Genomic DNA, 18,325 nt, shown 5'->3' on the forward strand with positions numbered 1-18,325 from the left:
ATTTGATGCCGATGAGAGACTATAACCTTCCCCTTCCTGCACGTGTACAGCCTTCGTTTATTCCCTCATCAACAAATTTGTCACGGCTGCCTACTAGGTTCAAGTAACTGTACTAAGTTCTGAGGATACAGCTGTTAATAAAAGTGACAGGGTCATGCTTTTATGGAGATTGAAATCTAGAGGTATAAGTAGATATTAAATTAATCCCGTGTCAGCATAAGCAGAAGTAGTTGGGCTAAAGGGAGAGAGAGGTGGGAGGTATGGGGAGTGGGCCAGATGTGAAGGCTCAGCATATGCAGGGATGCAAGAGACAGCCCGAGAATTCTGGGGTATAGTTGAGTGCTCGAGTATAGGAGGGGACTGGTGAAGTGGCCAGAGACCAATGAGGATGTCACATATAGACTGAGTTCAGAAGTTTGAATTATTCCCTGAGCCCTCCAGAGAGCCAGTCAAGAGTGAATTGGAGTTTTTATTAATCTACTGTATATATTTAAAGAAGACAGTAAACTGTTATATTAACATAAAATTGGGGTTTTGCCAGGCAAATGGAACATTAAAGCTATGGAACAAGATAACTGAAGATATAGACAAGCAACTTATGGACCACGACATCTAAGCAGGGTAGAGAAAATAAAGAAGATACAAAGGGTTGATAGACATGGAGGAAGAGGTTCAGTCTGTGAACTGAATAAGTGAGGAAGACACAACCAAGATTATGGCAGGATCCGACATTTGAACCTCAGATTTCAAAGGCAGAGCCATTTCAAAAGCCAGAGAGGTCAGTGGCCAAAGAGAGATGGAGACAATAATATCACTGGAGGAGGTTATAAGAATGAAGTGAGTTCAGCTATGGAAAATGTTAGGTGACATTTATTGAGGATTTACTATGTGCCTTGTGCAAATCTCAAAATGTATTGAGTCATTAAGTTCTTATAACAGCCCTGTGAGATAGGGCCTGTTAATTATCATTTTAAGGAAGAAGAAATTCTAAATATTTCATTTGAAAACTGGATGACATGATACTCAATGAAGCTGAATTTTGTTTTGGTTTGCTGTATTTTATATGCACGGCAGAAAATAAATATCTCATTCAAGTAATATTTATTGAGTAATTGCTCTATGTCAGACACGGAGTAATTGCTTGGAATGGTTGGAGGCGTGGTCTTCATTTTCCTTCTTCCTCCGCCTTTACTCCAGAGGGCAAACCCTCAGTAAAGACCCAGATTTGCATTAAGGCATGAAGAAGAAATATCTGAGAAAGACAGATAAGAAGGACACTTCACAAATCAGGAAACAGGTAGTTTAGCAAGCACAGTGAAAAATCCTCATGGAGATGACCACAAAAATTTTGTGAGGGGTTATTTTAGAGGAGATGAAACTCATTTCAGAGGAAATGAAATACAAGAGAATGAGATGACAGGAGAAGATGGAAACTTGGGCGATGAACAAAAACAACGAGCTGGGAACTTTACAGCTGGCCACAAATTTGCCAAGAAAATTAATCCCTGGAGCCTCCCATGTCTACCATGGGAATGTAAGATGGGAGAGACGGGCACTCAGAAGACAGCCACAGGCTACACTGGTTAAAACTTGAAAGGAGTTCTGGTTTAGGGTGAGCAGGATGCTTTGATGTCTGAAAGAGCCCAGCTGAAGTTTGGTTTCATTGCCCACACTCCAGAGAGAGGCTCTAGCTCCAAGGTGGTCAGTACCCAAATTCCTTGGCATCGGTTCAAGTCCTAGTCTTTTGGGCCTAGTTACCTTATGAGCTGAAATCTGCACTTCATTAAATCAACTATTGTCCTGTTGCGGTGAACATCTTTTTTGTTTGTATGTCTTCGCTTAGTTTTTTAGCTGGAAAATGCCTTGCTCTCTCAGCTGTGCTAAAGGAAGATTAGCATAGGGGTTTGCGTTTTTCAGTCAGGCCGAAGAGAGAGCCAGTGGTCACTGGAGGATGAAGGTAAGCAATGGTAGAATATGGGAAGTCAAGAGAGGCTAAAATATTGTTTGGTTTGGCTAATTAAGACAAGATAAGGATGCCATCATATTTCAAGTTTCATTTTGGTTTTCTGTAGAGGCTTTCAGAACAGAACAGCAAGTACACTTGAATGATAACCTTGCTTCTTACTATTTCCCTGCAAGTGTAACCTCCCAGGATTTTTTCTTTCTTTCATTTTACAATGAATGCTGTGAAAATTTTTATTTTCTTAAAAGGGTATCCGTCTCTCATACTTCTCTAAGGTGCCCTGCCCAGAAGTTGCTTGCAACCTCATCCCTAAGAGAACTGGCAAATATTCACCTCACCCAAACTGTGAACATTAGCCTGCATTATAATTATAGATAAAAAGAAAAGTGTGACCTGTGGTTGTCTAAAGATTAAAAACATAGACTCAGTCTGTACCAACAAAATAATGGCTTATTGTGTTCGTTTTGGGGTCTTAGACCTCAAAGGTGATTTAAGTAAGAGCTTGCCTTTAGAATACACCTTAAATATTGAAGATTAAGAAAGCATCATATGGAATTAGATTGCCGAGAAGTGCTTATGTGATTCTTAATAGGAGTTTCAAGTGTTGCCTGTGCAAAGATATTACTTGAAAAATTGTGAATGGAGAGAGCATTTTAGAAAAATTGAGCAACTTTTCCTATTTTCAGCTCTCAAAATTGAAAGAGGTAAAAGATTTAAGTTTCTGCAGGAAAGTTTATATTTCATAGAAGCGTGCCTTGAATAAATTTGTGAGTTACTAAAATGCATGTTTTAATGTAATTGAATAACACTGTCACTAAGTTCTAGATGGATGTATCTCCATGTCCATAACATGGTACAGTGGAACTGATTAGTTAGTTTGTATGTATAAAAAATCAGTACAGGGTTCCATAAGATGAATAAGTGATTTTCTCCTAAAAATTCTTCTGTTGAAAGTAAGACATTACACTATGTGACATTTTCATAGAAAGCTCCATAGTGAAATTTTCTTGAATTATGGAACTATGGAATGCCTATAATTATAGACCTTTACTTTCTGAAAGAGTCTGAAAGGTATAGGTTGACCTTCGGCTATTTGAATTGAGTGGAAGTGTTTCAAAAATTGAAAACAAACCTTTCAAGTCTCCTTAAAGGGAAAGAAACATTTACTCATATAGACATTAAATGTTTCCTGGTTCAATTCATAGTTTTTACTATTGGCCAACTTAACGATTAATACAGCAGATGCATAATAAAATTTTAAGTGCTAATTCAAAACACTTGTTCTAGAATTGGAGCCAGAAATCTTATAATAAGAAGTAGTAGGTGATTTCAAAAACTAAACATGTTGAGAAAATACATTTCCTTCCAAGAAAAACAAAGGTGCTTTTGAGATGAGAATGGCCAGTCAGGAAGTTTTATAGAGTCCTTACATAATTCAAACAAGGTGATGAGATACACAGGCTTGAACTGAGCATGATAAAATTCCAGTTGGTAATAAAAATTTTAATTTATATTTCTTAATTTTTTCCTCCTCCTAAATTCTGTGTTCATTGTGGAAGGCTTGGGAGTCCCTAAATTGTCTGAATTATATTCTTAAAAGCTAGAAAATCATGAGAAGTTCCTACCCTTGAGGCTTAATGTGCATCAGGAATTGCAAAGTATGAGTAATGAATGAAATGTGGTTATAAAATTTTGCCAGTTTTCAATTCCTGTTTGATATTTTAAAAATAAATTTAGCCATATAGGAAATCTTTCCACTAGGTAGGAAAGCAGGTATGTTTATGAGGAAAAAATAACATAGATTCTTTTATTTAAATTTGGAAATGATTTTAGAGTGTAGTACTTTTTTTCTTAAAACATACTTAATATTTCTCTTTTGAAGTGCTTTTAAGATTATTCATCAAATATAAGATCACACACAAACAGAATGTTGCATGCAAACTGTGGGTTTTAAGTATTAAAATAAATTTACTTTGTTTTGTTTGTTATTCAGCTGAACAGATGGTAATGATTTTGACACAATTCAGTTTTCGTTTTCTTTTTTTCTTCCTTGAGAAAAAAACCCTGCAAAAACACAGAGCTTCTTTTCCACTTTGTCACAGCTGGTTACCAATCAATCTCAATTCACGGTACAGTGATGATAGCACACGTTGTCCAGGGGCCAAATCTGATTGGGTTGCATTTTTCAGCAGTGTTTCATATCAGAAAAAATAAGGTATCTCTATGGTGGGGACTGTCGGCACACGATTGTACAACTCTCATTAATCAAACTTGGCAACAATGACTGCATTTATTTAAGTCAAAGACTAGCAGATTTCAAAATGAAAATCACCAAATTTCTGTTTGAATTTCCTCATCAGTAATGTTTTTTCATCTGTTTCTTTTTTTCTTGGTTTTAATTACAGCCAATGATACCTTCTACATTGACACTGATCATTACATATGATCAACCTCCTGTGTTGATCATATATAATATAATATTATACCATGTTACAAAGTAGCTGTTTCATACCAAAATAAACTCCACTTATTGAAAATTTATTCTAGACTTCTTAAAGAATGCTAAATGCAATTAAAAGCAAAATATAAATACCTTTGATTGTTTAATAGGAGAATAATTTTAAAGGAAATATACATCAGGAAAAACATTTATGAACCTCCCAGGGTTACATTTGGTGTTAGAGGAATATTGAGAAAAAATATTGATAAAGTTAGTTTCTGGAGGTTTTGAAACTGAACACAAAGTCGGCAGTACATAAATACCTACTTGCCCAATGCAAATGCACACAGAGCAATAAACACACACATCCAATAGAAAATGCATGCTGCTGTTTGTTAGAAAAATAAATGTACTTATAAAGAGTTCCAGTCACTTCATAACTTGAGAGAACAATGTCAGCATTTTCTGTAAAATTGTGTTTGGAAACAGACATTTTCTCTAAGTTATTTACTGCTGTGCAATTATATGTAAAGCCCTGTTGTACACTATAAAGATGTCTTTAAATGTAAGGAAATATTATTTATAACTTATTGTATCACTCTGTCAATATTTGCTTTGAAGGGAGAAATGCATATTTTCCCAATTTTCCAATGTAATGGTTACAATGACATTAATATTAAACATGGACCAATGTATCTTGAAAGAAATCTAAGAAATAAGGCCACATCTGTTAGACCTGGGAAAATACTTGAAACCTATTAGTTTTAGGGAGCAAATTATTGTCTTAGGGAAACCATGACCCATGAGGGAAAGCAGAGACTGGTAGTAGATAGTCACAAGAGTTTTTTCCCCAACTATAACTGCCTCCATATGTGGTTTTGGGAAAGAAACTTTGTCATGTTTTGCTTCAGATTGCCTACATGTGAAATTAGTAATGAGCCAACTATTTACATTCTAGATTTTGAAGTTACTTAGACATAATTTCTTTAAAAATAGTCTTTATATTTCTTAAGCTTTTGCAGATAGGAGTTAATCTGATCACAATTACAGGCCTATCCTTTCTCTGACCTGAGACACTTAAGGTAAATATTCATAAAGGTATCATAATTTGATTGAGTCTTCCGGGATTTTTGCAGGTGCTTAGCGACTGCCATAGTGGGTCGGTGATGTTGGGAGGAACAGTAGTGTCTGCATGGTGTACAATTGTATTAGGTTTGTTGAGTCAGCAGAGTGAGGAAGCCGAAAGAGCTTGTACTTTGGAGTAAGACATCTTGATTTGAAAATTCAAATCTGTATGTTAAAAATGTCCACGTTTTAAATTATGTCAATTGTTTAAATAATTTTAAAATATTACTAGGCCAACACGCACACACACAACTACAAATTTATACAATCTAAGATAAACTTCAGTACCCAGACCATGAGACCTGAATTCTAGTAACAACAGCCATTAAAAGCTTAACTGTGATGTTAACCATTTATTCTTTGAACCCATTAGGAAAAAATTCTGAGAAGCAGCTACTCTTTTGGTAGTATATCCCCTGCTTACTTTAATTTCCTTATATGGATTCATACATCAGGATTTTTAAAAATTGAATGCCTATATTGTCCCTTGGTAAAAAGCTGGGTAAAAATCTTTGTAATATAGTTGATGAAAATTGCGCCAGAAGACTTAGATTCCAATACGGTCTAAACCTTTGCTACCGATGAATTCCAGGGCACTGGATAACAAAGAACTATTTTTCTAATATTAAAATTAGGACATTAGACTAGGCTCAATAATTTTGAAATTCTTTACTATGTCTCAGAATATATGATCTGTTGGTGTCTTGAAATAACCAATTTTCATGTATTTTCTTATTATTGCATAATAAAAGAGTATTTTTATCTATTATCATAGAGGTACTTTATTTAGGCTCCATATGTTCTCTTTTAATATGAATAATATTGGATTAGCTGAATATTTTCATGTTCACTCATTCATATCTTCATGGTTTTCTAGACTTTAATGAAGTTCTTTGAAATTGTTATTTTTACACATGCTATAATTCCTTTGTTAAGAAACGAGGAATAAAATTGAAAATAATATCCCAATTTGTGCTATGCCAGATTTTATAAACATCTAAGAACAGCTATATGGTTTGCTTTCAGGTTGAATTTTGTATATGTACATTTTCTAATTTTTAAAATGGGGGAAATAATAGCTTCCCACTTTACCTACCAGAATTGTTAAAAGTATAAATGAAAGAGTATATTTGAGAATACTAGGCAAATATATTTTTATTGTCATATTTTATTTTCATAAGACATGTGACTTGAAAGCTCCCTGCCAAAATAATGAGCTTATATATTTGAAAGCATGGAACAAAACACAAAGCTTACATTGTTTTCTCTCAGTCTTCACATTTGTTTTATACATTCTGCTAAAATTATTTCATTTATTTTGGCGGAGAGAGAGAAATTATTTATTTGTTCATGTTACTAATTTACAGAGGGTAATTTATTAATGATAATATGTAAACCATATGTGTAGATTGCCACTCAAATTGCCAAGTTATCTCCATATAGCTAGTAGCATTAACGAATTAAATATTCCAAGTTCTTACATTTTCAGTATCATATCAATATGAATTTAAGTTACATTTCAGAGCTAATTGCTGGTATATAAACACAACATTACTATGCTTCTTGATACAATATCTTGTTATATTTCAAATTAGTTAATCTCTCAGTACTGCATATAATTGTTGCACTGGTAACCATGCTATAAAGAAGTAGAGGAGAATTTCAAGCATTTGCTGATGCATCATGATATTTTCAATAAGCATTCATTGAACGCCTCCAATATCTCAGGCACTGTTTGGTTAGACTTGGGCTATACAGTTTAAAGCAAGAGAGAACCAGTCCTCATTCCCATGGAACATACATGCTCTTGGAAATAAAGAAGACAAGAAATAAGGAAACAAAAGATGTGGTAAAGATATGTGCTTTGAAGAAAATAAAACGTATTAAAAAGTGACAAAAGAAAGATGAAAGCAAAGACTAAAAAGAAAGTAATTTTTTAAAAGTAACTGGATTGGTGGATAGCAACTAGAATTCTTAGGCAGGAAAGACATGTATAAGGGAATGATATTTGGGTCATCCTGAAATTCAAAAAGGGTCAGCCATGGAAAACACAAGGGAAGAACATTCCAAGAATTTGCAAAAGTACTACAAAGACACAGAACTGGCTTCTTACATTGAACAAGTAGAAGAGAAGCCATGTGACTGGAAAATAGTGAACATGAAGTTTGAGAGGGAGGCAAGGACCAGATTATCTAAAACTTTAAACACCGTAAATAAATAGGTTTTATTCTGAGTGACCAAATGAGAAGCCATTGGATAGTTTCGAAGAGTTCAGTGACATAATCAGATTTATGTTTATCAATCAGTAAATCTGTACTGAAGCTCTTAATTCCCTTTGAAACCCTTACATAAAATAACTGCTGTTACAGTCGTCCCTTCTGATTTGCAGTTTTGTACTTTCTCTTTGTGGCTTCAGTTACCCTTGGTCAACTGTGGTTCAAAAATATTAAATGAAAATGTCCAGAAATAAACAATTCATCAGATGTAAATGGCACAGCATTCTGAGTAACATGATGAAAGCTTTCACTGGCCAGCTTCATTCCACCAAGACACGAATCACACCTTTGTCCAGCATATCCACGCTATGCACACTACCTTCCAGTGAGTCACTTAGTAGAACTTCTCGGTTATCAGATTGACTGTCTCGTGTAGTGTATTTGTAGTTCAGTGCCATCTGTGGCTTCAGGCATCTACTAAGAGTCTTGGAACATTTTCCCTCTGAATAAAGGGGATTATTGTACAGTATATGGTTGCTGTTATTAGGAATAGTTGACCTGAAGATGAGATAATTCATAAGAAACCCAAAATTGAAAAAGCTGTCTTGTAGGAGAGAGAGTATACTTTTCTGTTTGGCACAAGGAGTAGTACTATCAGTAGTAACTTTGGGAAGAAAAGTTATCATATGTTATCATATATAGAAGATCTTCTAATAGAGATGTTCAAAGATAGAATAGACCCCTTGTCACAGGAGCAAGTGGGAGGACTGATTGGTTGCATGCTGCAGACAGGATTCAAGTGTTGATGGACAGTTGCAGAAGGTGAACTTTTAAAGATTTCATTTAGCCTAACGAGTCAATCACTTTATATATATTCAAAGTATTCTGATATAAATACATCACATAAACTGCTGATAATACTTGCAGACTTTCCTCAGGCAAAGATTCAGCGAGAAATGAGAATTTAAAAGATTGTGAGCATTTCAATAACTAAGTACTCAAAGTCTGTTTGTTTTTAAATTACAACATCCCAATGTGATGGGACATAACAAGACATGTATTGTAGCATTTACTTCTAGTTGGAGAAAGACAAGGCATGGCCCTGGGAAATGTGTGTTAGCTGGAGAGAGCCAAGGAGGTAGCTCTGATCTACCCTAATGTGGAGACATCATTTCACTAGGCTCTGAATCCTATCAAGTTGTGTATCCCCAAATTTTGGTGCAATGCGTAGATATGTCATCAGCATTTCTTGAATAAAATAATGAAATGTTTATTATAATCTTTTCCAACTTCAGTGATCCTCAAGGAGAAATTAAAAGATGACAATGATAATGAGCATCTACTAATTCCTAGGAACTATGCTGGGCACTGTTATAGGCTAGACCGTTAAAAATTATTACCCAAAACTTCTTTTTACTCCAAAGCATACCTATCTCATTGGGAATGGATTTAGTTACTTTCCGTACTTACATGTTTTCTAACAAACCTGGCCCATGTCACCAGACTATTGGCCTTGGCCATAGTTTTACAATCTGTATCTGAAAACCTGTTCTATAGGTAGAAAAAAAATAGATTTGCTGTTTTATTTTAATGGCACAGTCTCTTTGAAAGGTAGTCTCTTTTATTAATTGTTAAGATTAATTCATTTTATTCTTCCCAAGTAATATTTAATTTTAACTTTTCACAAGGAAGGTAATATGCAATCATAGAATGCACAATTACTTTTATCCCTGATCAACGTACCATTAATTAAAAAACAAACAAACAAAATCTTATTCCTATTCTTGTTTCCACCTTCCTTTAAAATGATAAAAAAATCTCAGGAAGTCAGATTTCAGACTTAGTTTGGGTTCAAATATTATGTATTTAGTAATTTTTAAATAAAAACTTTTAATTTTTTTTAAATTTCAACCTTTATTTTAGATTTGGAGGTACATGTAAAGGTTTGTGACATGGGTATATAGTGTGACAGTGAGGTTTGGGGTACAAATTGTGCCATCACCCAGAAAGTGAGCATACTACCCAACAGATAGTTTTTCAGCCCTTAACCCCCTCCTTCTCTCTTTCCTCTAGTAGTCCACAGTGTCTATTGTTTCCATCTTTACATCCATGTGTACCCAATTTTCACCTTCCACTTATAAGTGAGAACATGATTTCCTTCTTTTTTATGGCTGTGTAGTATTCCATGGTATATATGCATCACATTTTCTTTATTCAATCCACTGTTGATGGGCACCTAGGTTGATTCCATGTCTTTGCTATTATGAATAGTGCTGCAATAAATATATAAATGCTTGTGGGGTTTTTTGGTAAAACGATTTATTTTCTTTTGGGTATATACACGGTAATTGGATTGCTGGGTCAAATGGTAGTTCTGTTTTAAGTTCTTTGAGAAATCTCCAAACTGCTTTCCCCAATGTCTGAACTAATTTATGTTCTCACCAGCAGTGTGTAAGCATTCTCTTTTTTCCACAGCATCATCAGCGTGTGTTATTTTTTGACTTTTTAATAGTAACCATTCTGACTGGTGTGAGATGGTATCTCATTGTGGTTTTGATTTGCAGTTCTCTGATGATTTGAATAAACAGGTTTTTTTCTTTTAACTAAAGCAGGAGATCACTTTTACATTTTATTTAGCTTCCGTGTTGTCTTCTGTGTAATGAATGTCTCTAATGTGAAGTAAAATTTTGTCATATGCTATAACTAAATATTTGCTGAATATGAAATTATTTTTGTCCAAATTATGTACTTATGTGTCTTACTGTTTTAAGTTAGCATTTAAAAATTAAACTATTTTCTTGCAGAGAAGAAGTACACATAGAATGAGAAAAGTGACACATTCAGAGTCAGGGTTTTAATTCTGGTTTTTCTATTTATTGATAACATGACTTTGAACAGGTCATTTTATTTGCCTAAGTGTCAGTTTTCTCATCTATAAAATAACAATTTCTAATTCCAAATAAGGTTTTGCAGATACTATGAACAATGTGTGCAATAATTTTTTTTAACTGGAGGTAACATACAATTTTTTTCTCAATGACCAATCGAAATAATATACAATATAGGTATCTTTTATTAACTTGGAATCATGGCTTCACATATATATTGATCCAGAAAAGACTTTTTAGACCATTAACTTTATCTCCCCTCTTGTAGCTCTTGAAAAAACTCAGCTATAGGGCAATGTAGAGACTTCTGAAAGTCAGACAACAAGAATAAATAGCTAAACAGTGGTCAAGAATTCAATGTTTTTAGATGAATTGGAAATGGCTGCAAAATACAGTATTTAAATGTTTCTATCTTACAGCTAAGCATGTCATGCAGTTCATAGGCTAACTGTAGAAAAGATTATTTTTATTAGACATCAAATACATCACCAGTAACTTTTCTGAGGCCATTATCAAAATAATTGTTTTTCTCACATTTTTACTGGCAAAGTTAAACAGAAAGTGTTTATCTGCATGCATTTTAGCCTAGTACTTGCTCTAAACTATACTCAGGTAAAGTAATTTGAAATATTGAAGCCATTCACAGTTGGCCTTTATATCAGTAGGAAACAAGATATGTATCATGTATTCACCACTAGTGTTTCTTGAGCTCCTAGTAGTGGAATAATAATAGCTAACATGTATCGTGCTTTTTGTGTGCCTGTTTTAAGTACTTTATATGTCATTTAAAGCTCACACTCACTCCACGAAATAGATGTTATCTTTAGCACTTATTTTGCTAATTAGGAGATAGAGACCCAGAAAATTTAAGTATATTGCCAACTCTTACAAGCACATTAAGAGGCCAAGTCCATGAATACAACTCTGGCCATTTTGCTCCTGAGCCTGTGCTCTTAACCACTTGATTTTGCTACTGGATGTTAAAAACTCTATGTTTGGGAGTGTGGATATTGCAGTGAGTGAAGCAGACAAGATGTCTGCCTTCATCAAAATAGATAACAATACAAAATGTAACTAAGTGCAGAATTATTGCTGTAGCAATAAGTTTTCAAAAAGGCAGTAATTCGATTTTTATAGTATGGTAATGGATGGCTTCACAATGAAAGTAGTGGATAAAAAAGTAGTGGATAAGTTTTTTCCCTAACCACTTATGACATATTTAATAAGCAGAATTTTAAGGCAAAACTTGCAGACAGAAAAGTAACCATGATAATTAAAGGATGGAAGAGTAAGGGTAGTTAAGTTTAGTTGGCATGATTGGTAAATAGACAATGCTTTTTCTCATGTCAAGGTCTATAAATTAGGACTGTATTAGTTCATGCCTTAGCCTCTAATAAAATTAAGCTGGGTTATTCTTCTAGCTAAATCTAGAAGTAGAAGACATCTGGTTATGGCAGTTTTAAATGCAAGCCTAAAATGTTTGTATTTGTCCTGAAAACAATAGGAAGTCACAGCTAGTTTTGAGCAGACACAACCAATTAAAATGATATTTGGAAACATGGATCTAACTGTGGTATGTATGAGGAAGAGAAGCAAGGTGGCCAATCAGAAACTATTGCAAAATGTGTGTTTGAAATAAAAACCACAGGTAAATATCAGGAGGAAAGATCACATGTGAAAAAAATGATAGCTGGATTATTTAGTTTGTGTAATTATAATTTCTTAGAATTAAATAAGAACATATTCTCATGCAAGTACTCCCAAATTTTTTGGTGTTATAATGTTTTCTGACCCACTTTTTTAGTCTGTTTCATTAATGAAATGGAGGTAAAACCATAAATGCACGTGAACGAGCTGAGGATGTGCATTTCCAAAAATCACTCCAAGGCATGTTGATGTTTCAGGAGTTAATATTCCTTATTTAAAAATTGATTACATACCCTTAATTCTTTTAACTAATGCCCATTTTGTCAATTTGCCAACAAATAAGAGAAAAATTTTGTTCTTTAATATATTTCGGCTCTCTAATAGCCAAGGTGCCTAAAAATAAATCATAGTATTGAACACAATGTGACTAACAAACTAATGAAATATAACTCACCAAGAAACTGAGATGTATACTGTTTTCTTTAGCAGTCAAGAGCTACAAAATAAAGGTCAAAGTGCTAATTATGCCTTTGATAGTTGCGAAGTGGAAAGAATTCTATACATATGTGAAGTATAGGTAACTGACAAACAGCTAAAGATCAGATATGAAATTGAATTTATTAGCAATATCTTTAATCTAAGTAATTGCACTTTGTGGCTGATTTGTGTGTGTGTGTATTTGTGTTTAGGTAAAATACAGTATAAAAAGAAAAATGAAGATGAATACTTAATGTTATTATCCGTATAGCTACTACTATTTAATAAAACCAGTTCATTTTCTACACAGGTATGACATCAAAGACGATTACACACTAAGAATTAAAAAGACCATGAGTACAGATGAAGGCACCTATATGTGTATTGCTGAGAATCGGGTTGGAAAAATGGAAGCCTCTGCTACACTCACCGTCCGAGGTAAGAGATTTAAGATGTCAAAGATAATTGAACCAGGAGACTAATATTTGGTTAAATTGGTAAGTGAACTTACGATCAAAATAATGAATTATGCTGTTTTGTTGTACTAAAATGCCTAGATTTTGTGTCCTCTCTATCATTAGTTGAAATAAAATTACTTTCAATATTTGGTTCCCAATGATGATAATTTAAAAAGATTAATTCTTATTTAATAAATTGCTTATATGGTTTAACGTTAATAGTTTATATGGCTTAAAAGTAAATCTTAAAAATAGAAAAGATCTATACTACTCTTTCATTTCCATTGCTTTCAACTACTTACTGCTTTTAAATGTCATCAGTTTCAAAAGTACTCTCATGCTTTCTGTTTACTAGTTTGTCACTTTATACTAGTAGCATACTGTTTTGAAGTCCTTTTTAATGTCAGCATTCAAAACAGCAATCTGAAAAAACTAGCAATGCTTCCAAAGGTGAAAATGAATACAGAGGAGCTCTCCAGCCTTGAGATAATCTGATTTAGAGACTGATTTGTGAAGTTCATTGGCCTTAAATAATTGAAATAGTCAGTGCTGCTCTTGTAATAACTTTCACTTTCTGGGTGTCATGCACTTCCTCAGTCATGGAATAATGTTCATTTATAGACTCCCTGGAATTGCTTATAAGTGAAAGAAAGCATTACTTAACTTCACAGTGCACTAGAATAAATTAACTGTCTTTTCAGTGGGACTTGTTGATCACGTGAGGGAAATTACATAGTTCAAGGTACCAAGTAGTACCAAGTAGACACTCACACTAATTCTTGAAACAGACATTAGCCATGGCATCATCTACACTCCTAGAAAATCAAACAAAGATAGGCAAGCACATCCTTTCTCCCACTGCTAACTGTGCCTCCTTCTCTCATCCTTCGTGATAAAGAGATTGGCTGCATGTTTTCATCCAAGTCTCAGTTACATCTTACCCCATTTAGTCATACCTCTGACCCTTGTGCAGCTTTGCTCCCAAAGAGATTCAGAAGGTTAGGAAAAAGGTTCGGAGAAGTTTGAAGTTGCAGGAAAGGTGTGAGGGATTCTCAGGTTAGTCCTTCGCGTGGTAAGAAAAAGGATTTTTACCAGGTTTATGATTTGGGCTTCAAATCATACAAAACTCAACTACCTCCAGGTTATTATTAGGAGACAGGCATTTTGGGTACCTGGAAAAATATTGGTGCTTTTCATACTACTCAATATTTCACCAAATCCATTTTTTCTTCTGTAGATATTCTAGTGTGAATTTAGATACAAAACATATTTAGACAAAATTGACAGCTAGTTGCATAAAAACATTTTCATTCTTCATTAGTTAACAGGTCATAAAGGACTATGATCATATATGAATTGAATATATATATATATATGGATTATGTAGGATGAAAATCTGATAACCTTTGTAAGCCAATGAACACACTTTATTTAACCCACACTCTACATGGATAACTTCATACATTTGTCATATGTTTGCTAGGCAGCTTTTTGCAAAAACAATTCACTAGACCAAATTATCCCCGAAGTTTTCTTTTTCTTTTTTTCTAAAGTAAATGGAAAATAATAATAAACAACCAACCAATAAATGCTCCATCCGAAAAATATTTGCTGACTAAACAAATGGTGAGAAAACGTGAGGAGTTGTTTGTTTGTAGAAGCAGCAGGGTTTCTTTTATACTTGAATGCTTGGATGAGTGAGACTTGAAGTGGTCTGTTTGCTTTAAGACCTTTCCCAGCTAATTGTTTTCATAATTTGCTGAAAGTTTCAGGCTTAACATTTCATTTAACAAAGCATGCTCCTCATGCGGGGATGTTTGAAGCTAACTTACAAAACTAATAGAGAGCATTGTTTGTTTTCAATAGTTTTTTTTTTCTTAAATCAGCAAACCTTAAATAGCCTCTCCCCTAATCTGTATACTGTAGATGGATTAGAGTGTTTATTCTTTGTGGTATGAATTTATCACCTCTCTAAGACTGAAACCTCAAAAACTGGGTTTAAAAAAATCTCCTTAATGCAATATAATGTAGAGTAAAATACTGTTTAAAAACATTTATTTTTTACCATTAGGAAAAGCATTTGGGTTTTCTCATGCTAAGAGATTAACAGGAAAAAAAAGACAACACTGTTATCTACGACTTATTTTTTTTTCTTTGCTAATTTTTCTATGCACATAAATGAAATGTGCAGCCTTTCTTTGGATCGTTTTATTAGAACAGGGTCAACTGACCCAAGAGGCCATGCCCATTTTCATCCATTTAATGCAGAGACACAGTTGTGTTTAATTTGCTGATTTTGAAAACATCCACCTGCTGTTTTTTTTTTTTTTTTTCAAGATGAAATGTTGCTAATGTAACAAGGACAAAAAAATGTATTGTGATGTTTCTGCTAAAATTTTATCATAACATTCACATTAGCCAATTGGGGAAAAGGTAAGAGAGTTTATTGTCAAAATTTGAAACAGATCTACTCAGTTATTTCCCATTTCAAAAATATGCTTTAAAAAAAAAAACTATAAATTGAGGCTGAACATCAAGAAGCTCCCTTTGCTGACTTGGCAAATGTAAAATTAGGAAGAAATAAAGCCAGTCAACAACAAACCTCCTAGCATTTTCATTCTAATCAATTAATTTATTATTAATAAAACTTTTTAAATGGCTTAAAAATGACAACACAAACTGCGTATTTGTAAGCACATTTTACCCATTTTTAATTTTTTAATTTGCTTTGCATAAAGATCTCATTGGAAAAATCATATTGTTTCTAGAGCATTAAAGCCTTAATTTTTTGGAATTATTCTATAATAAAATAAAATAGAAATACATTTTATTTGTTTAAAACATGATTTCTCACCACAGTTTCTTTTTTTTTTTTCTTTTGTCAATATCCTACACTCAAAACGCCTTTTTGTTTCTGAAGGAAACATTATGTTTTAAATTCACTTGAGATGGCAAGCTGAAAAGTAGCAAATTCAAAGATGAAAAACAAAGTTCTTTTTCTACTGGACATTTTGCAAAATTAAGAGAAACTCCATCTGTTAGAATAAGCCACAACTTCACATTATTAGTCTGTTATCTCTTTTTGATAGTCAATCTTGTATTCTGCCCCTCACTCCCCTGCAAAAAGAAAGAAATCGTGGTACATTGGGTAACTCACTCCTCTTTTCCTCTGGCTATAGCAAACACACCCTATATGTTAGGCCACATTAGGGTTCCACTAAACCAGGCTTTTCGTACCACTGCTACAATTGCCTTATTGCCTATGGTCTGAAGCTTCCCTGTTTTAATTGTGAATAATATTATAAGACCATGGCTCTCATAGAGATGGATTGCACAAAGCTAGTATTACGATGTATCTGTTAAGTGAATATGTGTAAATATGTTTTCAATGGCTGTTCCTATCTTGCCCGAAGAGCCATCATCAACACGAAACTATTGGTATGTTCCAGAGTCACATTACATATGCACTAGAGCTGTATCTACTAAGGTATGGGCGAAACACTGTTGAAGAAATTCTATTTTTAATGTCAGATTTCATGAAATTTCATATACTACTAAGCATATTGTTTCTTCATTTGGATAATGGGATCACATGTTTCACAATATTTGTCTATTGCTTTTGTATAAAATGGTTTACCGTCTAAATTGATAGCGTGTTATTCATTTTTAAAAAAGGATTATGAAGCCCATGTGTATCTCTTACAATTTATTTGCATTAATAACAGGGGCAGCCTATTACCACTGATTTTAGTGATTGAAAGTTATGGTATAATAAAAAAATGATAATTTGTTGAAGCAGCAGTTTGAAAGCCGTTCTCAGTGTGAACAGGAATCAACTTGTCAGTCATTGTTTCCTGCCCTCTGCCAGAAGAAGAAAAAAGCTTAACAGTAGTTAGGGAGCTACTGAGTTGAAATCTCTAAGGATGTTCCAACCTATCTGTTATATTTTCATCCACCCTGTCCATGGATGAAAAGTGATGTAATCTCAACTTATTACTGACTGAAAAGCAGCGTCAGGGGCTTTTCTGCAGTCCTTGTAATGGTTCTGACTAACCATGCTTAAAATCCAATTGCTATTTAAATCAGACAGCGAGGCCTTCTTTTATTGACATGACATTTGCTAGTCTGTGACTTGAATAGTTATATTCATCAGGTTTTTAACTTTGGGGTAACACAAGACTGTTTAACTCAAGATCTTTGAAATAATAACTGCAGTAAGTGATGATGATAAGACTTTACCTAAAATATCTCTCAAATTGCTTACAGTCAGTTCTCAAAGTAATTATTTTCCTAGAATTATATTTATAACTCTCAACTTTATCAGACTCAGACATCTTGGTCATACTTGAATTGTGAGACTAGAAATCACTCTATTGTCCATACTTAAATGTAACATTACACATCATGCATTCTGATAATTTTTCTTTCTTTTTTTTAATTTCTTTTTTATGTTCTCACCACACCATTGTAATGTCTACAGCTCGCCCTGTTGGTAAGTAGCCATCCTTCTATCCACTAAGCATGGCTTTGCACAGTGCTTCATAACTCATGCATAGTAAGATTTGACAGAATGAAATATATTTATTTTACCCATGTTAAAATAATACTTGAGACTGTATGCTGTAAAAGTTGCTCATGTTTTTTTTACTCACTTTGATAAACAATTTTGTAGTGACTTTTGCTACATAGCAATAAGTAGGTAACAATTTTTATGTAAGAGAATAAATGAATGATAAATGTTTATGAACTGCTAGCTTTTCTTATAGGAGAAAAATATATTGTATTAGGATACAATAAGAAAGCATTGCTCTCCTTTTTTGTATGTATAAAATAATCAATTATTAGTTATGTTTGATGTTAAGAAAAAAGTTATGAACTAAATTAAAAAATTCTACGACTTTCCACACTTCTTTTAAGTTACTCCGAGTCCCAGTATTTTAGGGATATTTTTAGCTGCTGCATATTTATTGCCTGCATGCCTATTTAAACAAAATTAAGTAAAATGTTTTAAGTAGATGCTTACCCTAAGTGGGGGAGGGATAGTGGAGCTGTGTTCTTTGGCATGAAATCTGAGTGTTTGTGGTTTTAATATATCTTATTTTTCATTTGGC

The 18,325-nt window shown here is 33.6% G+C and overlaps 1 protein-coding gene across 41 annotated transcripts in view; it reads left to right on the forward strand.

Annotated features, from left to right (window-relative positions):
• Window positions 1–18,325, forward strand: part of ROBO2 (roundabout guidance receptor 2) — a 1,743,290-nt gene that overhangs the window by 1,603,034 nt on the left and 121,931 nt on the right. For 27 of the 41 annotated variants that reach the window (NM_001378191.1, NM_001378195.1, NM_001378196.1 and 24 more), the window contains 2 exons: window positions 13,067–13,194; window positions 17,695–17,706. In NM_001378191.1, coding sequence (NP_001365120.1) covers window positions 13,067–13,194; window positions 17,695–17,706 — 140 coding nt within the window. The remainder of the gene's footprint in view (window positions 1–13,066; window positions 13,195–17,694; window positions 17,707–18,325) is intronic. The other 14 variants (XM_047448673.1, NM_001128929.3, NM_001394212.1 and 11 more) reach the window with 1 other exon arrangement.

The sequence above is a fragment of the Homo sapiens genome, chromosome 3 (genome assembly GCF_000001405.40).
Source record: "Homo sapiens chromosome 3, GRCh38.p14 Primary Assembly".
Classification (NCBI taxonomy): Eukaryota; Metazoa; Chordata; class Mammalia; order Primates; family Hominidae; genus Homo; species Homo sapiens.